We start from the raw sequence: 26,186 nt of genomic DNA on the forward strand, positions 1-26,186 counted from the left end.
ATGACATCCAAGTCAGTTGGTTGCACGACCTTTATTCTGTCTTGTCCCATAGATTTAGAAAGAGGCTGACACATCGGGTAACTAGTTTAAGGTCATCTGATCATGCGGGTAAGCGACATTTTTCAGAAACCAAGGCCCTCCCTCTCATCTCACTAGTGGGAAGGGTGGAAAGAACAGAACAGAAAGCTCTCCCTCTTGTGTGAGGCAGTTGCTGTGGAAGCCCCACGGGCAGGAGGCCCCCGGCCAGCACATCCTGTCTGCTTGTGTCTGCTGCAGAGTTCTGGGACCGGGGCCATGTCTCCACACCTCACTGCTCTCCTGGGCCTAGGTGAGTCCTGGAGGGAGCGGGAAGGACTGGAAAGGGGGTCGGGAGGTCTGGAAAGTTCCCTGCTCAAGCCTGACTCTAGTCCAGAAGATTCTGGGGAGGAAAGTGTCCTCCTCCCCCCAAGACTGCCCTACTGCTCTCCCTGGGGCCTAAGTCTGATCAGAGACAACCTTGTCCTAAAAACAGGGGCCCGGGTGTGGGGATGAGGTCAGCTTTAAGAAGGGCTGGGGGGCCAGGCGCGGTGCTCACACCTGTAATCCTAGCACTTTGGGAGGCTGAGGCAGGTGGATCACCTGAGGTCAGGAGTTTGAGACCAGCCTGGCCAACGTGGTGAAACTCCATCTCTACTAATACAAAAATTAGCCGGGCATGGTGGCGGGCACCTGTAATCCCAGCTACTCGGGAGGCTGAGGCAGGAGAATTGCTTGAACCCGGGAGGTGGAGGTTGCAGTGAGCTAAGATCGCGCCACTGCACTCTAGCGTGGGCGACAAGAACAAAACTCCGTCTCCAACAACACCAAAAAGAAGGGCTGGGGGAGCAGGAGCCTTTTTGGAAGAGGAGACTTTGGGATTTATCTTGAAACCATTTTGCAGCAAGAAGGATTACATGGAGACAGTGATGTCGAGGAGGGTTGGCTTGGTCGTTATGAAATGCTGAATGCCCCCCAGCTCCGTCAAGCCCCCTTTTGACAGCAGCCCTGTAAGGAGACTGGGCAGTGGGCATTTTTCTCACTGGGGCTTCTCTTCCAGTGCTCTGCCTGGCCCAGACCATCCACACGCAGGAGGGTAAGTCATGCCTTCGTCCCGTCTTCCCAGTCCCCTCTGTCACCCCAAAGGCAGTGCTGGGTGGGAGTGATGTTGATTCTTAGAGGGCCTGGAGAGATCCCTTTAAATATACCCTAGATTGCAAACTATTCCAAATGTAAAATGCATAACCCTCACCCCTTTCTCTCCTTCATTCTCCACCTGTCATGTTTTGCTTTTCTTATTTTCAAAAATCCTATATTTTATTTTATTTTTATTTTTGAGATGGAGTCTCACTCCATCACCCAGGCTAGAATGCAGTGGCATAATCTCGGCTCACTGCAACCTCTGCTCCCAGTTTCAAGCGATTCTCCTGCCTCGGCCTCCTGAGTAGCTGGGATTACAGGCACCCACCACCACCCCTGGCTAATTTTTTTTTTTTTTGTATTTTTAGAAGAGATGGGGTTTCACCATATTGGCCAGGCTGGTCTCGAACTCCTTACCTTATGATCCGCCCGCCTCAGCCTCCCACAGTGCTGGGATTACAGGCATGAGCCACTGTGCCCAGCCAAAAATCTTATTTTTAATCGACAAATAATTGTATATGTTTGTGGGGCACGATGTGATGTTACAACGTATGTAAACATTGTGGAAAGATTAAATAAGGCTAAATAACATATCAATCACATCACATACTTATTGTGATGAGAACATTTAAAACCTACTTTTAGCAATTTTGAAATATATAATAAGTTATTATTAACTATAGTCAGCCTGCTATGCAATAGATCTCAAAAACTTACTCCTCCTGTTTAACCGAAACTTTGTACCATTTGATCAGTGTCTCTCCCAAGCCCCCCATTTCCCGACTTTAATAGCATCATTCTAATCTCTAACTCTGTGAGATGACCTTTTTTGTTTGTTTGTTTGTTTTGGGATGGAGTCTCACTCTGTCACCCAGGCTGGAGTGCAATGGCACAATCTCGGTTCACCGCAAACTCAACTTCTCAAGTTCAAGCGATTCTCCTGCCTCAGCCTCTCGAGTAGCTGGGATTACAGGTGCATGCCACCACGCCCAGCTAATTTTTGTGTTTTTAGTAGAGATGGGGTTTCACCATGTTGGCCAGGCTGGTCTTGAACTCCTGACCTCAGGTGATCCACCCACCTCGGCCACACAAAGTGCTGGGATTACAGGTATGAGCCACTGCACCCGGCCGAGATGAACTTTTTTAGATTCCACATGCGGTATTTGTCTTTCTGTACCCAGCTTATTTCACTTAGCATAATGTCCTCTGGTTCATCCATGCTGTTGTGAATGACAGAATGTCCTTCCTTTTTTAGGGCTGAATAATATTCCATTGCATATATACACCACATTCTCCTCATCCATTCATTTGGTGGTGGTTATATAACTCAGGTTATTTCCAGGTCTTGGCAGCTGTGAGTAGCGCTGCGGTCACCCTGGGAGTGCAGGCATCACCTCCACACACCGATTTCCACAATGAGAATTCAAACCCAACACAACCAAGGCTGAACCCGGCACTTTTCCCCAGACGAGCCCACACTTCACTCGGCAGCTTCTTGGCGGGGAACGTGACAGTCACAAAGGGCAGACTCTGAACACTCATCCTCTTCTCCATCCTCCTGGATGCACCATGTCACCCAGTCCTGGTGATTTCACTCTAAATTTTTCTCATCTTTCCCTCTCTCTTCATCGACTTTTCCTGCATCACCCCCAGGTGACAGCCCTTCTCCCCTCCGTGGCTCCCCGAGGCCGGCCTCAGCCTGTCCATGCCACTGCTGCCTGCTCCCTTCCTGACCCCAGGGACTGGCGATTTGCAAAAGCACAACCATGACCATTGTACTTTCCACAGTTTTTAAATTGCATTCAAAAATTTTCATTTAATATCTCATCGTAAGATGAAGTTTTTTTCTTAGAGCCCTTCCCCTGTTTATCTTCAGATAGAATCAACCCAGGCACCTCTCTTTGTTCTGGACATGCCCATTTTCCCAGCCACATCCTGTCCCTGTGACCTGGGGCTCACTCATCTCTACATTCCTCCAGGTTCTTTCGCTTTCTCAAACACTCCATATGCCGCTCAACATGGTGGTTCTTCTCACATGCTGATTTTTTTTTTTTTTTTTGAGATGGTGTTTCATTCTTGTTGCCCAGGCTGGAGTGCAATGGCTCGGTCTTGGCTTACTGCAACCTCTGCCTCCCTGGTTGAAGCAATTCTCCCTGCCTCAACCTCCCAGGTAGCTAGGATTACAGGTGCCTGCCACCATGCCTGGCTGATGTTTTTGTATTTTTAGTAGAGACGGGGATTCACCATGTTGATCAGGCTGGTCTCGAACTCCTGACCTCAGGTGAGCCGCCCACCTCGGCCTCCCAAAGTACTGGGATTACAGGTGTGAGACACCGCGCCTGGTCTGATTTTTAAAAGTTAATTAATTCAGTTTAAAATTGACCGATGAAAATTGCATGTATTTGTCATGTCCAATATGACGTTGTGGACTCTGCACACAGCGAGGAATGGCTACATCGAGCTAGGCAACGTAGGCATTCCTCCTGTGCGAATCATTTTTTTGTGGTGAGAACGCTTAGAATCACCTGGATTAGCAATGTCCAATAATGTAATACATTGTTATTAACTGTAGTCACCGTGTTGTACATGATGATTCTTGAATTGATTTCTCCTCTCTAACTAAAACCTTGTTTCCTTTGAGGAATTTTCCCACTTTGAGTGCCCTGGTGTCCCCTGTCTGCTCAGCTCAGGGAGTTTCTACTCCTCCCTCAGCTCTCAGCTCAGAGAGAGCTTCCCCTGACTTTGCAGAGGAGGTCAGCTCCACCGCCCACCTGTCCCCTAGATCCCTGCACACTTACCCACAGGAAACTTATTGCAGTTCGCAGCTGCAGATTTGGACAATTCTTCGATCAATATCTGTCCTCCCTTCTAGACGTCCACCTCCAAAGGGCAGGCATCCTGTATGTGTTTCTCACATTTGCGGAATTAGCAGCTCATGAAAAGCGTCTTTAAACAGATTGATAAGTAACTGAGATATGGTTAAAAGAAAGAAAAATGAACAAATGGGTGGGTTTGGGGAGATGCTGGTCAAAGGATAGAAAATTTCGTCTAGACAGGGAGAGTAAGTTCAGGATTGTGTAACATAATGACTAGAGTTAATCACAATATATCATACGCTTGAAAATCGCTAAGAGGGCAGATTTTAAATGTTCTCACCACAACAATTAACTACGCAAAGTGAGGTTATATTAATTAGCTTGATTCAGCGATTCCACAGTGTATACCTGTATCAAAACATCATGTTGTACACCTTAAATACATGCAGTTTTAATTTGTCAATAATAAGGAATGAATGAAGACGGGACGAGTGAATTGAAGCCCTGCCAGCTCTCTGCCCCGCTCAGGGATTTTGCTAATTTTGACACAACCTTCCTGTTTCAGGGCGTCAAACCCGCCCTTCCTCCTCCACCCCAAGCCCAGTTGAGATAAATGGGGTTTTTCAAGAGCCTTAATAACAAGGAAATGCAAATTAAGCTGAGAAGAAAGTAGAAACTATAGAGGAAAACCCAGAGGTGGTGTCTCCACAGAGATCTGCATTAGCAATGGGGACCTGTCACGGGCTGGGCATCTGCTGTGAGCAGATCAGGGCTGGGGGCTTCACCCTCACCCCACCAGACCCTCAAAGGAGCCTGGCAACCCCCGTCCCACACTCAGTCCCACCCGGGGACCGGCCAGTGCCCTTCAGGCCCCAGCACGAGCCATCTCCAGAGCCCTCGCTTCCCTGTCCCTTGTCCTTCACGAATGACCCTGTCATCCCCATCGTGTGCCTCCCTCCCACCCTCTGTCCCTCTAGAAAGTGGCCCTGGGCTCTGCAGCAGGCATGAAGGGCTCCAGGCTGCTCCGACACTTCCCACGTGACCCTGAGCAAGGCCCAAGTTGTGAGCAAGTCTCAGGGTCCTCACTGTCAACTGGGAAAAAACTCTGCAGTGATGAGAATCACATGCACGTAGAAGGTGCAGGAGGCGTGGGAATGTTCTAAGGTTGGGCTGTGGTCGTGGCTGCATAACTCTATAAAATTGCTAAAATCCCTGAATTGTGATCCTAAAATGACGTGTGTGGCATGGTGACTTCCTACAGTGGACGCTGAGATCCTTCTTTGCTTCCCTCTTAGGGGCCCTTCCCAGACCCTCCATCTCGGCTGAGCCAGGCACTGTGATCTCCCCGGGGAGCCATGTGACTTTCATGTGCCGGGGCCCGGTTGGGGTTCAAACATTCCGCCTGGAGAGGGAGGATAGAGCCAAGTACAAAGATAGTTATAATGTGTTTCGACTTGGTCCATCTGAGTCAGAGGCCAGATTCCACATTGACTCAGTAAGTGAAGGAAATGCCGGGCTTTATCGCTGCCTCTATTATAAGCCCCCTGGATGGTCTGAGCACAGTGACTTCCTGGAGCTGCTGGTGAAAGGTGAGGACGTCACCTGGGCCCTGCCCCAGTCTCAGCTCGACCCTCGAGCTTGTCCCGAGGTCCCTGGTCCCTGTCCCGGCTGCTGTCCTCTCTCTGTGGCCACCGTTGCCCTCTTCCTGACCCCAAGCCCTCCCCTCCCCTTCTTCCTCTGCACACACCTCCCCTCTGCCCTCACACCTGCTTAGGTCCCTGGAGCCCTGATCTCCTCTGGACGCCACAGATGGCGTGGACACTCAGTCCCAGCATTGGGTTGGCTCAGAGCTGGCTCTGCTTGGCTGGGTGGGGAGTGGGTTCCCAGAGATTAGGGGGCAACCCCCCTACAAGGGGATGAGTGTCTTTTCACACAGGATTGATGGTCCCATTTGTTATTCCTTTCCACTGAGCCAGAACCTGCCCCAGGCAATGTGCTTCTCCTGGTGTGGTTCATCTCCCACTGGGCAGAACACAGGGTCCAGGGATGGCCCCTGACCAGGGCGGGACAGTGCTTTGGGAAAACCTTTGGTATGTGACCACATGCACTCCTGTGTGTGCTCAGCCCGAGATGTCCTGGAGTCAAAGTCCACTGGAGAGGATCCAACCCATCTTCATGTCCCCCCAGGACCTCAGCAGTCCCCTGAGGTCAAGAAGAGCTTGTGGTGGGAGGAGCAGAGGGAGTGACCAGCCCCAGGGAGAATGGGGCAAGCAGCGGGGCTCTCCCCAGCCTCCTGTCCCCTGCCCCGTTTTCTCAGGAGTCTCGAGACATTGTCTGGGATTGCGTGATGGTCATGCGGCCTTTGGATGGGGGCTCAGGGTGGAGGAGGGCAGGTTGGTTGGGACGGGTTCTAAATCCTTCTCCTGCCCCTGTTTACAGAAAGCTCTGGAGGCCCGGACTCCCCGGACACAGAGCCCGGCTCCTCAGCTGGTCAGTAGCAGGGCCCTCAGCTGGAGGGGATTACAGGGGAATCTGTGCTGCGGATGCTGTTCCGGGTCCAGCCCTCTGCCCTGGGCTTGGAGTCAAGGTCTAGGGAGGCCACGGGAAGGCACCGACACCCACCAAGCTCTGGGAGGTCGCTAATGCTCACAGAGACCATAGCAGCAATGGTACAGTGATTGCAACCTTGTTCCATGCCAGGAACTGTGGAAAGCACTTAATGCAAGCACCACTTAATGGGGGAGGTACTAGTCTGATCCTCTAACTCCTCCTCCTCTCTAATATGCAAAACATAAATTAAAGTTTCGTGCTTAACGGCACAAGGCCATGAAGGGGCAGGGGCCACCCACCCGGGCAGCCCCACCCCAGACTTCCGGGCTCTCCCGAGCTCCACGCTGCCCCCTTGTGGGCGTGGCCTCACCATTCACCCCGCTCTGCACCTGATGGAGGGACTTAGAACTCACCTTCCAACCTGGGACACCCGGAGAGGGACGGGGCTGCTCCTGTTGGCTCTGTGATCTCCGGGGGAGGCCTGAACGGTGGAGTAAGGTCCCTTAAGAGGAGGAGGGCTCCACAGGGAGGGGACGTAGCTGTGAACGGTGACCAGGATGAAGCCATGAGGCTTCCCTTCCATCTGGCTCTGCCCTGGACTCTGTGATGGGAGAGAAGCTGCCTCTGGCTCTGCCCCTGGACTCTGTGTGATGGGAGTGAAGCTGCCCCAAGTCCCTGGGTCTCAAGTTGTCCATCTCCGCCTGTGATCTGTGACCAGAAACTGCCAGGGGAGGACACGGGGTCATAAGCCATTCGCGGCCCCTTCCCCACCTGGGTTTCTATCCCCAGAGTACGTCCTTGGACCTAGACCCGGTGACTGCCTGTGAGGCTCGGGCTGTGAGCTCAGGCAGGTGGGACCAGGGGCTGAAGCCACATGGGGAGGTGGGAGGAGCGATGCCGTGCTCCATCCGGACCCCCTCAGAGGCTCCTGGGCTGCTGGGGCACAGCGGGACATGCTCCTGAGTCCCGCAGACCTGGTTCAAGTCCAGTGTCTGGTTTTTATTAGCCTTCTGTCTGCGGGAATATCTTGCCTCTGTTTCTCTCCCTCTCTTCTTCTCCTTCCTTCTCTCTTCTCTCACCTTCATGCAGTGACATATAAAGGTCACGAGGGCAGACCCTCCTGCAGCCAGATTGCTGGGTTCATGGTTCAAATCCCGGTGGTTCTGCCACCCCCTGGCTCTATGCCTGACGGTGACTCACCCAAACCTCCTGTGTCCCAAATTCCTCATGTGAAACAGAGGCAATAGAAGAGCTGTCCTGGTAGAATCGTTTAGGGCAGACTTGAGTTCAGGTACACACGGCGCTGACATCAGTGCTGATTAGAAAACCCCAAAGGAGGGATGCTCCTATTAATACTGAGGAAGTATTTTGTCCTCACAGGGACTGTGCCAGGCACTGAAGCCTCCGGATTTGATGCACCATGAATGAGGAGAAATGGCCTCCCGTCTTGTGAACTTCAATGGGGAGAAATAATTAGAATGAGCAATAGAAATGCACAGATGCCTATACATACATATACAAATAAAAAGATACGATTCGCAATGGAGAATTTCAGACCTATCATTTCAATTATATTAAATATGTTCACGTAATGTATTACATATATAAGGAACATAATTATATAATAAAAATATGTTAACATATCACCACATATCACTATAATTATATTATATGAAAGATTTATTTACAATATATAGTACAATAAATTTCAGGTGTTATTATAATTAATAAACAGGTACAAACATAAATATATATTATCTATTATTTATAGATTATAATTATAATAGAAAAATTTTATATTTAATTATATGTTTATATGTAATATACATTATACATTATATATTATAGTGAATATATGCAACATATATTATAAGTATAAATCATATACAATTAACATTATATACATTAAATTATGATGTATATGTCAAGATTACATAATTTAATATATATTTGTTATATATTATACGTTTGCATAATACATGATACATATAACTATAAATAATATAAAAACTGTAATATTGCACATATATAATACATATGTAATTTTAAATGGTGGCAAATGTTATGAAGACCAAGCCCAGGAAGTCATGGTGTAGAATAACGGGTGGTGTCCTGGACCTTGGACCGTGGAGGAGGCAGGAGGGAAGGACATTCCAAGAGAGAATGTCTGCCTTTCTTGAAGGATATTGAAGATGCTGCCTCGGCAGTGGGGGAGGGGAGGGACGCTGTTCCTGGAAGAGGGACGCTTGGCTCGGACCCTGGGTTTGGGGGAGCCCCTCAGGACCGCATTTAGCCACCTGGGAATTGGGTAGTGGCGTGCACTGTGCAGAGGAGGGTGAAGGTTGGAGGAGATGACGGGCGGCCTGCAATGCGCCAGATGCCTGGGATCTCGGCTCGCTGCAACCTCCACCTCCCGGGTTCAAGCGATTCTCTTGCCTCAGCCTGCCGAGCAGCTGGGACTACAGGCACGCGCCACCACGTCGGGCTAATTTTTGTATTTTTAGTAGAGACGGGGTTCCACTATGTTGGCCAGGCTGGTCTGGAACTCCTGACCTCAGGTGATCCGCCCGCGTCAGCCTCCCAGAGTGCTGGGATTACAGGCGTGAGCCACCGCGCCTGGCCGATATATATAATTTTTAAAACTTCAACAAGAGCTCAGCCAGTTCTTTCTATGGGGCAATTGCTAATTTAGTTCTATGCAAATATCGACACATTAAGTCCTTGTACACACTGTCCTCAGCGTGCCTTATTATTTTCCCCCCTTTCCTCAGAGAAACTATCGACTGAGACATGGAGCAACCTCTCCAAGGTTAGCCAGGTCTCAGGGGCAGGGGCTGCCTGAACTCCAGGACAGGCTGCAGCTCACCGCGCTGGGAGGTTTCTGCCCTGCCATACTCTCAAATTTTAATTTGTACTGGGCTTTAATTTTCTTTTCTTTTCTTTTTTTTTTTTTTTGAGACGGAGTCTCGCTCTGTCGCCCAGGCTGGAGTGCAGTGGCGCGATCTCGGCTCACTGCAAGCTCCGCCTCCCGGGTTCACGCCATTCTCCTGCCTCAGCCTCCCGAGTAGCTGGGACCACAGGCGCCCGCCCCCACGCCCGGCTAATTTTTGTATTTTTAGTAGAGACGGGGTTTCAACGTGTTCTCAATCTCCTGACCTCGTGATCCGCCCGCCTCGGCCTCCCAAACTGCTGGGATTACAAGCGTGAGCCACCGCGCCCGGCCGAGCTTTAATTTTCTATTTGTGCTCAAGTTTAATTTCCTTCCAGGATCTGTTTCCTAGACCTGTGCTCTTTATTTTTGCCTTCTTCTGTTACATGATGACTGATTTTCTCTGTTCTTTATGTGGGACACATTCTCCCTGCTCTCTCTGTGTGTGTGTGTGGTGTGCGTGTCTCTGCATCTCTGTATCTCTGTCTTTCTTCTCTCTGGTTGTTTTTCAACTATTAGCGCAGTGTCTTCTCCCATCACGTCTTGTTTGTTTGGCTTGGACCCTGAGGTGGACAGGTGGGTAAATGAGGCCTTCAGCAAAGGGTGGCAGCTTGACCTTAGCAGAGGAGGCTGTGTGAATTTTTCTACCCCTTGCAGAGCACAGGAGGGCTGAGCCGACCCCCGTACCTGCTCCAGTGTAAGGAAGTCCAGGATGTGCAGGCAGCCAGGCCACAGTGAAAAGCAGGACAGTCATGGTTTAAGGGAAATTAAACAAAAGCACCCAACTGTTCTTTTGTGGGGATTGGTGGAAAGAGGATGGGTCCAGGCAGAGGACAGAAAAGCAGAGGCAGCGACTCATCTTTTCTTCTGGATCCTCCAACCCGCCCAATGCAGGGGCTGGGACTCAGCGCGATGGGTCTGGGGACACTGCTGTATGGAGAGGATGTCCCTCCTGCTCCACCGCCCCCAAGCCCACCTGGAGGAGGAGCCACGTTTAACACACCCGGTGGTGCAGTGTGGCCAGGCAGAGAGGGAAGGCCCACCCTGTGATCATGACCGCACCCTAATTCCCCTGAGGAGTGTCCTGGGGGTGAACATCAGGGGGCTGCAGTGGGGCCCAACATGGAGGGGAGGGGAGGCCTCACTTGGGCCAGATGGGGCAGCAGCAGATACTCACAAATGTCCCTGAATCCCTGGGACTAAGTGGACATTGAGTCAACAAGAAGGGTCCCCAGGCCTTGAGGGAGCAGAGAGAGGAAGGAAGGACAAATGGCTATCAGGTACAGACATCAGTGGGATCCCCCCGGCAATCTAGTAAGCAAACCCCACAGACCCCAGTCAGCTCAGGCCCAAAGCCCAAAGGCCAGCAGGAGGGCACAGAACCACTGTCCCAAGCATCACCTTTGAACCCTGCTTCCTCCATATTGGGCACTACCCTGGGAAGGAGCTCAGGAGAGAGGGAAAGTGGGAAGGGGAAATCATACTAAAGAAAGTGAAAAATGATTGTGAAGGGCTGAGTTTAAACTCCAGGGAGTGTGTGCGTGTTCACCAGGGGCAGCTTATGAGGAAGAGTGACATCAATGATAGAAGACGTATTTCTTTTTTTCTTTTCTTTCTTTTCTTTTTTTTTTTTTTTGAGACGGAGTCTTGCTCTGTCGCCCAGGCTGGAGTGCAGTGGCACAATCTCGGCTCACTGCAAGCTCCGCTCCCAGGTTCCCACCATTCTCCTGCCTCAGCCTCCCGAGTAGCTGGGACTACAGGCACCCACCACCACGCCCAGCTAATTTTTTTGTATCTTTAGTAGAGACAGGGTTTCACTGTGTTAGCCAGGATGGTCTCGATCTCCTGACCTCGTGATCCTCCCCTCCCAAAGTGCTGGGATTACAGGCGTGAGCCACTGCATCCAGCTCCATAGAAGACGTATTTCTTCTGTTGAACTGAGTGCACGCTGATCTGTTGCACACACACACGCGAAGCCACACCAACACATACACGGATGGAATCCTCACTGGCGTGCAATGCTATTTAACTCCTCAGGTATTAACTACCTAAGGAAAGAAATGTAATTCATTGGATTTTTGATGATGCTTCAGTGAAATAAACCAGAGTCTGTTCCATCGAAAATGCCAGGTAAACGTTGACTATTTTTATTTTTCTCTGTTTTATCATGCATATATAACAGGCTTCCCCCCCCAACAGGGTCAATATTTTACGGGCCCTTTTATAAACTGCTTGTTCTGTTAAAAATTCACCAGAAGCATCCCTCCTTCTGTTGCACGTCCGCAATGAGCCCTCAGTTTGTAGCACATCCCACACTGCACACCCTCCTGAAAAATGCTTGGTTTGTGTGATAACATGCCCTGTCCCTTTCTCTCTCCACCAGGCTTTTCCATGTGGAGAAACGTCACTTAAAATGTTTCACATTTGATAGGGAGTCAGTGGCGCTATGTATGGACTGTGCTTCAGTTTCTTTGCATGTGGTTTTTTTTTTTTTTTTTTTTTTTTTTTTTTTTTTTTTTTGAGACGGAGTCTTGCTCTGTCACCCAGGCTGGAGTGCAGTGACATGATCTTGGCTCATTGCAACCTCCACCTCCCAGGTTCAAGCGATTCTCCTGCCTCAGCCTCCTGAGTAGAGTAGCTGGGATTACAGGCATGTGTCACCACACCTGGCTAATTTTTGTATTTTTAGTAGAGATGGGGTTTCATCCTGTTGACCAGGCTGGTCTCGAACTCCTGACCTCAAGTGATCTGCCCCACCTTGGCCTCCCAAAGTGCTAGGATTACAGGCGAGAGTCACTGTGCCTGGCCAAAATGTGGAGAATTTTAATAGGTATTTTGTTGCCGACCTTTTCTTCCTGTTTCCTTGGGGATTCGGGTGGTTACTTTCACACAGAAAGAAAACAGCTTTTCCTGAGGACAGTGGTTCCCACCATGGAACTGAGACACGCTGAGCGTGTGAGAGATGCCCAGAGTGGCAGTCATGGCATCCTGATCTGCAGACCACTTCTCGGCTTCTGTCCAGAGCAGAGGCCAGGTGTCTGGACTTCCCTTTCTCAGACCGTTGGACCAGCTGGGCAGGGTGTTGAAGAAAAAAAAAATCCAGTGTCACTTGTTGAGGCACAATAAGGAGGACATTATTCAGGACTATTGCTGTAGGTACAGGGACCATGGTGATGGAATTGCACAGTGTGGGAAAGAGACTGGGCTCAACTCTGAGTAGAACAGGAAAAGTGGGAATTTGTAGCCTTGGAGCAGGGTGAGCGGGGTCAGTCAGTGGAAAATTGCTAAGAGAAGTCCTCAGGGGTTAAGAAGACCCTGGCTAAACCGACCCAGCAGGATTCTTGCTGAAGGCAGGCCAAGGCGGCCAGACATCACCTGAGGCTGATGGAGAATGAAGGTTCTTACCTGTGAACCATCTGATTAAGGGTGATCAGATATCTAGAGTTAAACTGACTCTGCAGGATTCTTTCTTAAGTAAGAATTGGAAAAGAGTTGCAATTCTTACTAAAATTGGGCAAAGCAGAGATAAACATGGAAGCCCAGAGGTCAGGGCTCGTTGGAAAAGAGCTCAGAGGAGCCTGAGTCGAGCATGGTCAAGGAGATCGTCTATCTGAAGGGAGAACGTAGAGCCTGGGCAGGTGTTGGGGAGGAGGGTTTAGACCAAGAATCACAAAGCTCATGGGCCTTGCTTCATGGAGGGATCACAGACCCAAGAGCTTCATTCTCTTCTTCTTGAAGAAATGTGACCACTGGGGCTGGGTCTCTCCTGGGCTTGAGAGTGAGGTCTGGGGAAACCCACAGGTCTGTGCCCTTGGAGAGGCTTAGCCCACCTGTTCCCAGGAGGACACCACAGCCAACAGTGAGAACCTGTCCTCCATCTCTATCAGACTACACCTTGCTGACCCCAAGAACCAGAAGGGAGTGTCTTCCCCTAGGACCCCAGCTCTGCTGGGAGACCTCTCGTACCCATGGCCTCTGCCAGTCACTCTCACCTGTGACCCTAAAAAGTCTCAAGCCCTTCTCTGCATGTTCCTAATTCTTGGTCCATCCTATCCTCTTGGGGATGGCCCTTTGCATGGAACATCACTGCAGGCCTCAGGAACCCCAGGACAGAGCAGAGTCCTCCGCTTCCTCCATCCTGTGAGCAGGTGACTTGGGATTTCAGATGAGGCTGGCAGTGACTGGAGATTTCGGAATCTGACAGATGCTTTTAACTACCTGGAAGGACTGTGCCCTAAGAGACAGAAGATATGAGAAGCATGAGAATCCACTGAAATGTAAAGGGCTTTAGAGCTACAAGAGAAGCTCTAAAAAGACAAGGAAATGCAGAAAGCCCCCAGTTCCTCAGTGGCTTGGGAGGGAGGTGCAGACTTCCTGACTATACAGGAGATGATGGGAAGACTCATTACGGATGGGGGCTAGGAGACCACCCTTCCTTAGTTACGTGTTTTGTGCTGTGTCTTGACAAGAGAGATGAATCAGGGTCCTAGGTGAGAATTCACCACCATCCAAGACCTAAATGGGTGTGTGTAGACTCTGAAGTCCAAGAAGTTCTGCCGACCGACGTCTGCACAAACCACTCTCAGCAAAACAACCACTAGAGTAATCCAGGGTTTCAGAAAGAGTTGGTCTTTTCCAATCTAGCGGAGAATATCTTCTCCCAGTGAGAGAGGGACACACACACACACACACACACACACATACACACACAGTATTGGCTCTGTTTTCTCTGAAGTGTGTGGCCTTTTTTTTTTTAAGGTGTTGTAGATTACTTGGAACTAAATAGAGGTGATGGTTGAAGAAGATTATGAATGCACCAAATTCCACTGATTTGTACACTTTTACATAGTTAATGGTTAGTTTTATGTTTGCGTACTTTATTACAATAAAAAGTAATGATATAGTATTTGTAGAGCAAGTAGCAAAGTCCCAATATGAGTAGAATCTTATCATGCTCATAATTTATACACACAGTGCATTGAAATAAGACACTATTTTCGGACAGGCGCGGTGGCTCATGCCTGTAATCCCAGCACTTTGGGAGGCTGAAGCGGGAGGATCACAAGGTTAGGAGTTTGAGACAAGCCTGACTAACATGGTGAAACTCTGTCTTCACTAAAAATACAAAAATTAGCCGGGCATGGTGGCGTGAGCCTGTAATCCCATCTACTCAGGAGGCTGAGGCAGGAAAATCACTTGAACCAGGGAGGCGGAGGTTGCAGTGAGCCGAGATCATGCCATTGCACTCCAGCCTGCGTGACAGAGTGAGACTCCATCTCAAAAAAAAAAAACAAAACAAAACACTATTTTCTATTACCAAGGCAAGGCCAGAGTGATTCCCTTTTTGCTTCCTCTCTGCCCACGATGGTGTACAGTAGAAAAAAAAATGGCCTTATCCAGATGTCAAGATTCCATAGTTCATATGAACATCATCTACACCTTGAGCTTCTCCACCTCTTGCTAAATTCTGACTCCTATTCCAAATGTTCCCAATATATCTGGCCCTATATCTAGACACCATTCCTATTTCCCCTGTCTGGATGCAGTCCAAGGAGAGTGGTTCTTGCGGTTACTGTTTACAGTACTGACTGGGATGCTGGCGCCTGTCTGTAGTTTCAGCACCATGGCCAGCGTCCAGGAAGCCACACAGCTTTCTCCATTGTCGTCTCTTAGTTGATCATTTGCATATGCTGAGTCCCTATCTTGGGACTCTGAAATAGAGTCTTCCTGGAAAAATCTAATCAGTAACTTTTTTTTCAGGGCAATATTCAGGCATTAGGGTAAATTGGAAAAAGAGGATGCCAGTTGTTAAGGCGATGTTTTTGGAAAAAAAATAACCCTTACATTCCATGGATTCTGCAAGCAAGTAGAATGGCCTGTTGTGGGGTCGGGGGTGGGGGAGGGGGAGGGACAGCATTAGGAGATATACCTAGTGTAAATGACGAGTTAATGGGTGCAGCACACCAACATGGCACATGTATACATATGTAACAAACCTGCACATTGTGCACATGTACACTAGACCTTAAAGTATATACATTAAAAAAAAGCTCAGAATGTGGGCTCCCACACTCATCAGGACAACTAGAATAATCCAGGGTGTCAGAAAGAGTTGGTTCTCTCCAATCTAGCTGAGAATATCTCTTCCCGGACTTTCAAGATACCAGCTATTGGGTAATGGCCAAACGACAACAGGCTTTAAATCACACCAAACTGCTTTCAAAACCTGAATCTGACCTTGCTATCTTTATGTGCTTGGGAGAGTCACATTACCTGTCTAAGACTCACTTTGCTTTTCCATAAAATGGCACTAATAATGCTGTCTGCTTTGTAAGCATGTTTGGAAGACGGATGATCGGGGATTATTATATTCTGCCTCTCTGTTTAGCTAGGAGGGAAGGCTCCGGAGCCAGGAAGGCTGGGATATGATCATTGCTTTGTCTCTGAAAACTATGAGATTTAGGAAAATTACCCACTTGACTCAATTTTGTCATTTATAAAATGAGGGCAATGCCAGTACCTACCTTATATAGAGTTTTGGTGGAGAACACATAGTTACTGCATGTGACGTGCAAAGTAAACTCTGAACATGTTGTTAGACTCACTCAATAATGTGGGCTATTGTGATCACTACTATAATGTTACTCTAAAAACGATGATAATATTATCATAGTTTTGTGGCTACACAGAGCCTGATAAACTTTGCTCAGTAATAATACCTGTTTTTATGAATCATTGTTAACATTTTCTTGAAGGTCCTTGGACATCTGACATATTCCCTGATTTACTTTCCAAAGTTCTGGGCTCCCCATCTCAAGCTTACAGACTTAGCCTGGACGGATGCCGGCATTTGTTTTTTTCAAATATTTACTCAGCAACATCTCCTGGGACTCGGGACTCTGATGTGCCACATCCTGTATAGGAAACAGGTGATGTGGAAATGAGTCAGACTCAGCTCCTGCCCCTGACAGACTCTGACAGAGAAATCTGCAATGCACTGATAAGACTCTGCTACCAGAAGCTTAGGCGCTGCTGAAACGCAAAAGAGATACCAATTTATCTTTTCCTAAGGAGTGAAGGAAAGCCCCTTGGCCATGAAAACCCCTCAGATGGTACCAAAAATATAGACAATTGATCCAGAGAGGAAAAGAGGGGAAGGAAAGAGTAGAGAGCATCCTCAAATGAGAGAGCAGTGTATTCGGAAGCATCAGTAGCTATGAGAAGCTACAGGCTCAAACAAGGGGAAAGATTTAGGAGGAGAATTATTCTCAATTGCTGGAGTGAGGGGTTGAGCCAAATAGGTTAAATTAAAATTTTCATTGTTGACCATGGAAGGGCTGCGCACTGGGGCAATAGGAGAAACCTCCAGGAGTGTTCAGGGAAAGAAAGCAATTAAACGTGGATCATGTTTTTTGTTGTTGTTTTTGTTTTTTGTTTTTTTTTCTGAGATGAAGTCTCGCTTTGTCGCCCAGGCTGGAGTGCCATGGTGTGATCTTGGCTCACTGCAACCTCCACCTCCCGGGTTCAAGTGATTCTCCTGCCTCAGCTTCTGGAGTAGCTGGGATTACAGTCATGCACCACAAGGCCCAGCTAATTTTTGTATTTTTAGTAGAGATGGGGTTTCACCATGTTGGCCAGGATGGTCTCGATCTCCTGACCTCGTGATCTGCCTGCCTTGGCCTCCCAAAGTGCTGGGGTTACAGGTGTGAGCCATGGTGCCTGGCCAGATAAATTTTTAAAAGAGAGGGAGATTTGGCTGGGCATAGTGGCTCACGTCTGTAATCCCAGCACTTTGAGAGACTGAGGTGGGTGGATCACCTGAGGTCAGGAGTTCGAGAACAGCCTGGCCAACATGGCTAAACTCCATCTCTACTAAAAATACAAAAATTAGCCAAGCATAGTGGCAGGTGCCTGTAACCCTAGCTACTCAGGAGGTTGAGGCAGACGAATCGCTTGAACCCGGGAGGCAGAGGTTGCAGTGAGCCGAGATCACACCACTGCACTCCAGCCTGCAATAGAGAGAGACTCCATCTCAAAAAAATAAAATAAAATAAGAAGATGACTGTGGGAATGGTAAACTGATTTCCAGGATGGGATACCCAAAAGGCACTGCAGACCTGGGGAGAGGGTAGCAGCAATATTGACTTTCATTGTGGACACGGCGAGTAGAAAAGTCCTGTAGGGAACTCTATAGGTTCTTGCCTAAGGGAAGAGTCACAAAGCTGTTGGACAGAAATGGAAACACTACCAAAAGCATCAACGGAGAAGAGAAAAAGGAAAAGAGTACAAGGGATGGGGATAGGGTAGAAAAGGATGATTCTCAACAAGTCAGGATTTCTCCTACCCAAACATCTATGGTATACACCTGCCACTCCTTGCCAATACTTTTGTCATTATATATATATTTGAGACAGAGTCTTGCCCTGTCGCCCAGGTTGGAGTGCAATGGCGCAATCTCGGCTCACTGCAGCCTCCAACTCCCGGGTTCAAGTGATTCTCCTGCCTCAGCCTCCCGAGTAGCTGGGATTACAGTCACCCACCACCACACCCTGCTAATTTTTGTATTTCTTTATTTATTTTTTTAGTAGAGACAGGGTTTCACCATATTGGCCAGGCTGGTCTCCAACTCCTGACCTTGTGATCCACCCACCTTGGCCTCCCAAAGTCCTGGGATTACAGGCGTGAGCCACTGCGCCTGGCCTACAAATGTGTTAATATCTCAGGGTGTGTGTGTGTGTCTGGGGAGGGCCAGGTGGTTTTCTGTGCTGAGTTTGCTCTGTAGGGAAGAGCTGTGTTTTCTGGGGCTGTAGAGTTTAGCTCAGTCCTGATCATCAGCAATACGAATGTCAAACAGGAAGGCTTGTGTCTTATTTGGATGAAGATGCAGACCTGTGGAAGGATTTTGATCAGGGCCAGAAACAGGAAAGTTTGGGGCTATGAGAATTAATAGACATCAGCAGCAGTGAGGGTCTGGAGTAGGGGGCTGGGAGGAGGCTGATGTGGTGACAGAGACACGATGTCTTCAGTCTCCAGCTGAGCTTGGACTGTGGGGATGGGTCAGGGGACGTGGGTGAGGAGGGACTCGGGGAAAGAGCTGTTTGGATTTGTTCACGGTGTGGGGAGCAGAAGAGCGTGAGGAACTGAGAGTTGCTCCAGTCTCTGCCTTGGTTCACTGGAGGAGCCGATGGGGCTGTCTCGGGATGGATGACCCCAGGAGAAGCAGCAGGCAGGGGAGGTGTTGATAAGATGGATAACTGGCCTCAGAGAAAGCAGAGCCTCCCTCCAAGCCCGAGTGTGTGGTTTTGTTCCTCCCAAACACTTCCTTCATCTGACTTCCTTTGTTCTATAATTAGCAGCACCTTCTCTTCATTCTTCTCTTTCAAAACCTCTGATTCATTTCTACCTCCTCACTACAGTGTGTTTTCTGAAAGTTCTCAAAGCACAGACTAATTCCCATTTTCCAGGAGAACCACACATTTCATATGGCTTCAAGCCAGACAATGGGAATCCACGCAGAGAGAACATGCACGCACACAAACAGGAAGGACGCAGACGGGCTTTGGGGGTGACGAGGGACAGCTTCACCCTGAGGTCTCAGGCGAGGGGTGAGGAAGGAGACTCATGTGAACTCCTCTGTCTCTGCTCTCAGGCTTGTTCACAAAACCCTGCATCTCAGCGCACCCAAGCCCCCTGGTGCACGCAAGAGCCAGCGTGAGCCTGCGCTGTCACTCAGAGCTGGCCTTTGATGAATTTATCTTATACAAAGAGGGGCACACACAACATTCCCAGCAGTATGGTAGGATGATCCAGGCTGGGGATCACTCCTTCAAGGCTGTCTTTTCCATGGGTCCTATAACGCCTGCCCGTGCAGAAGCCTATAGGTGCTGTGGCTGTTTCAGTCACTCCTGCTATGAGTGGTCGGCTCCCAGTGACCCCCTGGACATTGTGATCACAGGTGAGTGTGGCTGGACCATTCATGGTCTTTTGGTGCCCAGGAAACTCCCCAGGGTGATGTGGTTGTTGATCAAACCGCCAGTAGAGGAAGAAAAATACCAGAACATAGAAACACCAAGTAACTTATTAGAGGGCCAGAGGAGGGGATGAAGGAAAGGGGGAGAAACAGAGAACTTGTGATAGTTAAAGAGAAAACAAGTTAGACAGTGACAGAGAATGTGAAACAGATATTGAGAGAGATTCGCAAACATAGACAATGCCTCCTCCTGACCTCTCACCTGTGTCCTCAATGCCTCCTCCTGACCTCTCACCTGTGTCCTCAGTGCATCCTCCTGACCTCTCACCTGTGTCTTCAGTGCCTCCTCCTGACCTCTCACCTGTGTCCTCAGTGCCTCCTCCTGACCACTCACCTGTGTCCTCAAACATCACTTCCTCATGACTCCCTTTCCGCAACAGAAGAGCTATGCCAGTCTATTTTCTAATCACCCACAGCCAAGGAATGATTCCACATACGAATGTCATAGTGCGTAGTTACCTGTTTTGTAGTTATTTCTAGACATCTATCACATCCCCTAGACTAGCAGGGCTCACAGGACAGGATCCATGTCAGTGAAGCGTATGCTTTATTTTTCATTCTTGGTTAATTGTATGAAATAAGGTTGACATTTATAGACATATGCTGGCAGAATGGATGGAAGCATGGATGGACTATAAATGGACAGACACAGAGGGAAGAGTTGATGATGTATTCAGTATTCAAATGCACACTTAAAATCTGTCGTATATCAAGCCAGCAACCTCTCCTGCTGCTTTCCCCCTTGAATTCTGGGATATTCAGCTCTGCTCTCAGTTTCCTGGCTCAGGGATTTCCTCCTTGTCCATTTTGCCCAGGTGAGACGCACACAGAGATCACAAACTCAGATCAGCCTGACAAATCCTAAAGCAAAATCATACCTGCAGCATTGACTATATAATCCACTGGACCCCATGCAAAATGAAAATAGAGGGCCCCATGTTCAAACATCAAGATGTCAACACGAGGGCATTAAACTCAGCTTGGAACTCTGATGGCACGGCTCCTGGACAGTGAAGCCAGCCCTGCACAGAGACATAAGCAATTGGGGGATTGCACACAGCATATACCAGGCACCTCGAGATCCCAGAGCTGCATGCACCCAACACACGCCAGGTATTCCAGATGCATCAGACAGAAAGTGCCCCTGGAGGTGATGGTTGCAGATCTGGGGGCCTCCAAAGCCCACTTCGCCACTCTCTGCTTCAGTCGTCATACTGGACATGGACTGTGTCCCTGCACAGACCCTGTGTATACCTAGTCCGTTCACTGCACTGCAGGGACTCAGACTTGGTAACTGAGTGTATGAATGTGTATGAATGAAAATAGCATGTTGATTGTGTTGGATTATCTTTACTTAACAAAGTGGCATGCAGTTTTATGAAGTTTTAAATGGAATAAATAGTGACGTCTTCACATAAGCCTCCTTAGGAAGTGACTAATATCACCCACGCTTACAGGATGAGGAGGTTGAGCTTCACAGCTTGTGCAGCAGGCTGAGAGTCACGGAGCAAACAGGCCGCAGATCCTGGAATGAGCCCAGGCTGGCAGAGGTCAGAACCCAGTCTTGTGACCACAATGCTTTGCCACCTGTGTTAGCTTCCTGGGGCTGTCCTAACAAAGTCCTGCAATCTGCGTGGCTTAACACCACAAAATCAATTCACTTATAATCCTGGGAAGTAGAAGTTTGCAAGTAAGGTGTCAAGGAGGCCATGCCCACTCTGTAGGTTCTAGGAAAGAATCCTTCCACATCCCCCCCACCTTTTTTTTTTTTTTGAGACAGAGTCTTGCTCTGTCACCCAGATCTGTGGAGCGATCTTCTCTCACTGCAACCTGCACATCCTGGGTTCAAGTGATTCTCATGCCTCAGCCTCCCGAGTAGCTGGGACTACAGGTGTGCACCACCACACCTGGCTAATTTTTGTATTTTTTTAATTTAATTTTTTTTTGAGAGAGAGTTTCACTCTTGGCATCCAGGCTGGAATGCAATGGTGAGATCTTGGCTCACTGCAACCTCTGCCTCCTGGGTTCAAGTGATTCTCCTGCCTCAGCCTCCCAAGCAGCTGGGACTACAGGCATGCGCCATCATGCCCAGCTAATTTTTGTATTTTTAGTAGAGATGGGGTTTCACCAGCTGGTTTTGGCCAGGCTGGTTTCAAACACGTGATGTCAAGTGATCTGCCCACCTTGGCCTCCCAAAGTGCTGGCATTACAGGTGTGAGACACTTCCTGGCCCCAAATCATTCATTCATTCATTTATTCATTCTTCATTGAGTCATTCGGTAATTCCCCGTATAGTTACTAATCACTAAATGTGTGCCAAGTACGGGGCTCCTCACTTCGTACAATTACGGTATATTGTAGACACAAAGAGTGTCTTCATGGTGGGAACTGGAGGAGAAACAATGAAAAAGTGGAGAAATAGAAATAAATGACATCAATGATAAATTTTATGAAAGAAAATGTTAAAACTAAACCATGAAAACTAATACAGAAGCCTACTTGCCTACGGTGGTAAGGAAAGAAATCTTGGAGCTGGTGATATTTGCACTCAACAGTGATATGAGGTGTGGGGAGAGGGATGGAAGTTGAGATAGAGAGAAGAGCACGTGCAAAAGTCCTGGGGTGAGGGAAATGTGAAGGATCCATTTCTTTTGCTGTAAATAAGACAACATACTGTCCTGAGTGTACGTGGGTATTTATAAAGTAATAATATTTATCTAAAACTTGGAGTGAAGTATCTGAATGAACGTATGCTTCGAGTAAGGGTTATAAACCATTGTGTCTATTTATGTACAGATGAGAATACCACATATTCCAGCCCTGCCGTGAAGGAAAGGTGGAATCAGAGATGAGGAATCTTCAGCTCAGATAGGAGACACACAGAAAGGTTTGCATGTGGAAGTGCCAGCCTGTCAACCTCTCCAGAGGCTCCAGAAGTGAGGCCAGAATTTTGATGATAGGAGATAGACTTTGGAGGTCATCACCCACATCCCCTGTCATGGTCACTGTCATTGTCCCTATTCCAGGCAGTCAGAAGGAAAAATGAAGGATGAACATAATGCGTTGGGTTCAATGGGCCAGGGCTGGAAGCAGCCACCTCTCCTGGGCAAAGCCTCAATTTCACAGATCTTCTCAGGTGAGAATTGAATCACTGCAAATGAAAAGCTTGCCCTTGGGTTGTGTCGACAGGTTTGAAGCAGGCAGGGAAATCTATTCATGGCAGAGATATAAACGGTCCCTTTATTCTATGGGTGGATGTGGATCAAGAATTCTAGACACACAGGGTGAAGCCTGTGTCCAAACTAATAGGACCTTCACACTGTTTTCAGCATGGAGAGCTCACAAGTATTGGAGGATTGGGAGAATGGGGTGTCTAGAATAACGTAAAGCAACAGGAAGCTTGATTCACCCAGATGGGTAACCTGAGCATATGCCCTCCTATGGATCAGCTCAGGAATTCCACGCTGGCTTCAACACAAAGGCCTTTTCACCCGTGCTTGCTAACATTCAGATTCCCATTAAAGATGTGTGTTTTTAATTAATCATTTCAAATAAAACCTTGACATTATTTTGCATTAATTTTTCATGTTTAAGTAATTGGTTTAATCGAGAAACGGAAGTGCATGAGGCAGATACTAAGTTAGTTAGGTCATTGCAAATATTTAGTTGGACTTTTATCATCCCTCGGCCTCAGATTTTCTGAAGCCTCTGATGCCGTTCACCCCTCTGACCTACGTGAAAGTAGCTCTTATCTTGTTCACCTTTTGGACCTTGTTTCAAAAGTAATGATAGAAATGAGCAGTCCAGTTGAGAAAACAAGATACTCTGGGAGGGTAGGTGCTGAAAATTCTTGGAGAAACCAAAGCTGAAGACAAGACTCTCAATCAATTGATCTTGGCAAGGAATTGTGTTTTCTCTCTTCACTGTTTAATACTGGTCAATACAATTATGGATGTTTTGATCTGGAGTGATTCTTTGTTAACATCTCTCGTATTCATCCAGAGAATGTAAATAAGGGCATAAAACAAATGTAAATATTCCTATGATAAAATAATTATTCTGCTATGGAGAATATTGGATCTTGCTCCTTAGCGTGGGTTATTTGGGTGAAACACTGAGAAACATGAATGTCAAAGAGTCCTACACTGTGAAACCCCGTCTCTACTAAAAATACACACACACACACTCACACACACAAATTTGCCGGGCGTGGTGGTGGGCGCCTGTAGTCCCAGCTACTCAGAAGGCTGAGGCAGGAGAATGGTGTGAACCCGGGAGGCGGAGCTTGCAGTGAGCCGAGATCGCGCCACTGCACTCCAGCCTGGGGGACAGAGTGAGACTCCGTCTCAAAAAAAAACAAAAACAAAAACAAAAAAACAGTCCTAAGCTTTCTAGGACCAAGGAAGCAGCTACTCACTCGCAATCGCTAGAGTGTTCCCATCTTCCAACACCCACCTTGATTTTCTCTAGTCCAGCAATGAGTCAGGTCTCAGCATGGTCGAAGCAGGGAAGGAGCATCTCATGCTGCTTTCCTTGTGGTCATACCTTGCCAATGCCACTTCCAGAGGCAGGTTTTTCATTCCTTCTTTCAGCTTTCAGGGTCTGGATACTCTGAGGACACTGGTTTTGCCTCTGTGCATTGATGAATGCCTCCGTTAATCTGCAAGTGAAGAGTAAGGAAATTGCTTTTCACACATTACTTAGAGGGCTTTTGGTACTGTCAGCGAAGGACACTTGTCTGATGATATCGATGTCAACCACAACTTGCAAAATATCCCATAGACTCAAATTTTAGGAAACTATTCTAACCAAAGCTCATCATCTGAAAGCTGTTGCTCTATGCACAGGGTCCTGGGCTTCTCTGTGTGTGGCTCTTCCCCCCACACAGGAGACCCATCCTCTCGTGAGATCTTCACCCTGCGCAGGAGACCCGTCCTCTCCCGAGATCTTCGCCCCGCGCGGGAGATCCGGCCTCTCCCGAGATCTTCACCCCACGTAGGAGACAGGTCCTCTCGCGAGATCATCACCCCATGCAGGAGACCCGTCCTCTCGCGAAATCTGCACCCCTAGCATGAGATTCCCTCCTATCGCGAGATCTTCACCCAACTCAAGAGACCCGTCCTCTCCCGAGATCTTCAAGGCACGCGGAAGACCCGTCCTCTCGCGAGATCTTCCATGCGATGGCTCCTGCCTCTGCTCATATCCAAACTCCTCCTCAGCCAGGTGTCTGATGACTCCACTGCCATCATCCCAGAAATTTGTTCCTAGAGAACACAAACAAATTTCTTCTCTATTCTTCATACCAAAGAAAATACTATGATATTTCTGCATGTTTATATTATTGTTAAGTGAACGGCAGTAATTGCTTATCTTCCAAAACGAAGAGCTGAGTAATGATATATCTTTAAACTCCATCCTTTTGACAGTGATTGAAATGGACAAAACAGTAGAAAGTAGAGCTGATATGTGTGATCACTTTTAATGACACAGATTAACAGTGAAAACCACAAAGACCTGTGGTACTTGTATCTAGGTAGTAGAACATTGGCCTGTAAACACAGCACTTCGGGAGGCCGAGGCAGGTGGATTGCCTGAGGTCAGGAGTTCGACACCAGCCTGCACAACATGGCGAAACCCCGTGTCTACTAATGATACAAAAAATTAGCTGGGCATGGTGGTGCAAACCTGTAATCCCAGCTACTCGGGAGGCTGCCAGATCCAGCCACGAGACACCTTTCAAAAAAAAAAAAGAACTTGGTGTATAAGATAATTTTTACACTGCCATAAAGAACTACCTGAGACTGGGTAATTTATGAAGAAGAGAGGTTTAATTGACTCACAGTTCCACAGACTTAACAGGAAGCATGACTGGGAGGCCTCAGGAAACTTACAATCATGGCGGATGTTGAAGGGGAAGCGGGGACCTTCTTCTCATGGCTGCAGGATAAAGAGAGAACCAGGGGAGACGTGTCACACTTTCAAACCACCAGCTCTTGTGAGAACTCATGATCATGAGAACAGCAAGTGAGAAATCTGCCCCCATGATCCAATCATCTCTCACTGGGCCCCCCTCCAATACATGGAAACTGCAATTCTAGATGAGATTTGGGAGGGGACATAGCCAAATCATATCATTTTGCCCCTGGCCCCTCCCAAATCTCGTGACCTTCTCACATTTCAAAACCAATCATGCCTTCCCAACAGTTCCCAAAGTCTTAGCTCATTCCAGCATGAATTCACAAGTCCAAGTCCAAAGTCTCATCTAAGACAAGGCAAGTCTCTTCCCCGTATAAGCCTGTAAAATTAAAAACAAGTTAGCTACTTCCAAGATACAATGGGGATATAGGCACTGGGTGAATGTTTCCATTCCAAATGGGAGAAATTATCCAAAGCCAAGGGGCCACAGGCCGTGTGGTGATGGGTTTGTAGGTGCAGCAAACCACCAGGGCACAAGTTTACTTATGTGGCAAACCTGCACGTCCTGGACATGTACCCTGGAACTTAAAATAAACAAAATAACATTGATTATAAAAAGATATGAGGCCTAGAGAATCCCAGGAATACCTCCGCCGAACCCCACAACCCACAACCCCAGTGTCACTAGGTTGCTGGGACAACACTGGCACTACCTGCCTCAAAACTTATTGTGAAGTGAAACATTAAATGTCTTTATTATTAAAACAAAAGGAGAGAATGACAATGATCG

The 26,186-nt window shown here is 48.0% G+C and overlaps 1 protein-coding gene and 1 long non-coding RNA gene across 4 annotated transcripts, besides 4 other annotated features; one reads left to right on the forward strand and one right to left on the reverse strand.

Moving 5' to 3' along the window:
* The first annotated feature begins 206 nt into the window (after positions 1-206).
* On the forward strand, positions 207-8,063 carry LAIR2 (leukocyte associated immunoglobulin like receptor 2). 3 transcript variants are annotated; one of them, NM_002288.6, is made up of 5 exons: positions 207-328; positions 1,076-1,111; positions 5,267-5,560; positions 6,411-6,461; positions 7,902-8,063. In NM_002288.6, the coding sequence occupies exons 1-5, from the start codon at positions 295-297 to the stop codon at positions 7,943-7,945; spliced, it is 459 nt and encodes a 152-aa protein (NP_002279.2). In that variant the 5' UTR covers positions 207-294; the 3' UTR covers positions 7,946-8,063. The 3 variants fall into 3 exon arrangements, with proteins under 3 accessions (NP_002279.2, NP_067154.1, XP_011525263.1); NM_021270.5 differs by lacking the exon at positions 6,411-6,461; XM_011526961.3 differs by lacking the exon at positions 1,076-1,111.
* Positions 3,944-4,113: an enhancer, noted in NCBI's record as "experimental_51709 CRE fragment used in MPRA reporter constructs". NCBI's record gives its function as "activates a minimal promoter by MPRAs in K562 erythroleukemia cells, with activity observed for the introgressed 19:55017869 variant allele {active_cell/tissue: K562}" and the evidence as "EXISTENCE:reporter gene assay evidence [ECO:0000049][PMID:34662402]".
* Positions 4,838-5,338: an enhancer, noted in NCBI's record as "H3K4me1 hESC enhancer chr19:55018677-55019177 (GRCh37/hg19 assembly coordinates)". NCBI's record gives its function as "activates a minimal SCP1, AML or CMV promoter by ChIP-STARR-seq in primed H9 embryonic stem cells {active_cell/tissue: H9 hESC(primed)}" and the evidence as "EXISTENCE:reporter gene assay evidence [ECO:0000049][PMID:30033119]".
* Positions 6,833-7,648: an enhancer, noted in NCBI's record as "H3K4me1 hESC enhancer chr19:55020667-55021482 (GRCh37/hg19 assembly coordinates)". NCBI's record gives its function as "activates a minimal SCP1, AML or CMV promoter by ChIP-STARR-seq in naive H9 embryonic stem cells {active_cell/tissue: H9 hESC(naive)}" and the evidence as "EXISTENCE:reporter gene assay evidence [ECO:0000049][PMID:30033119]".
* Positions 8,064-11,574: 3,511 nt separating the features above from the next.
* LOC105372460 (uncharacterized) lies at positions 11,575-24,486 on the reverse strand. The gene is made up of 4 exons (XR_001754038.3): positions 24,290-24,486; positions 23,936-24,140; positions 13,443-13,684; positions 11,575-12,520 (listed from the first exon to the last, which is right to left on the reverse strand). It is a non-coding gene; the product is annotated as an uncharacterized LOC105372460 (long non-coding RNA).
* Positions 14,788-14,988: a silencer, noted in NCBI's record as "peak3555 fragment used in MPRA reporter construct". NCBI's record gives its function as "represses an SCP1 promoter by STARR-seq MPRAs in K562 erythroleukemia cells {active_cell/tissue: K562}" and the evidence as "EXISTENCE:reporter gene assay evidence [ECO:0000049][PMID:32103011]".
* Positions 24,487-26,186: the final 1,700 nt, after the last annotated feature.

This window comes from Homo sapiens, chromosome 19 (assembly GCF_000001405.40).
Source record: "Homo sapiens chromosome 19, GRCh38.p14 Primary Assembly".
NCBI classification, from domain to species: Eukaryota; Metazoa; Chordata; class Mammalia; order Primates; family Hominidae; genus Homo; species Homo sapiens.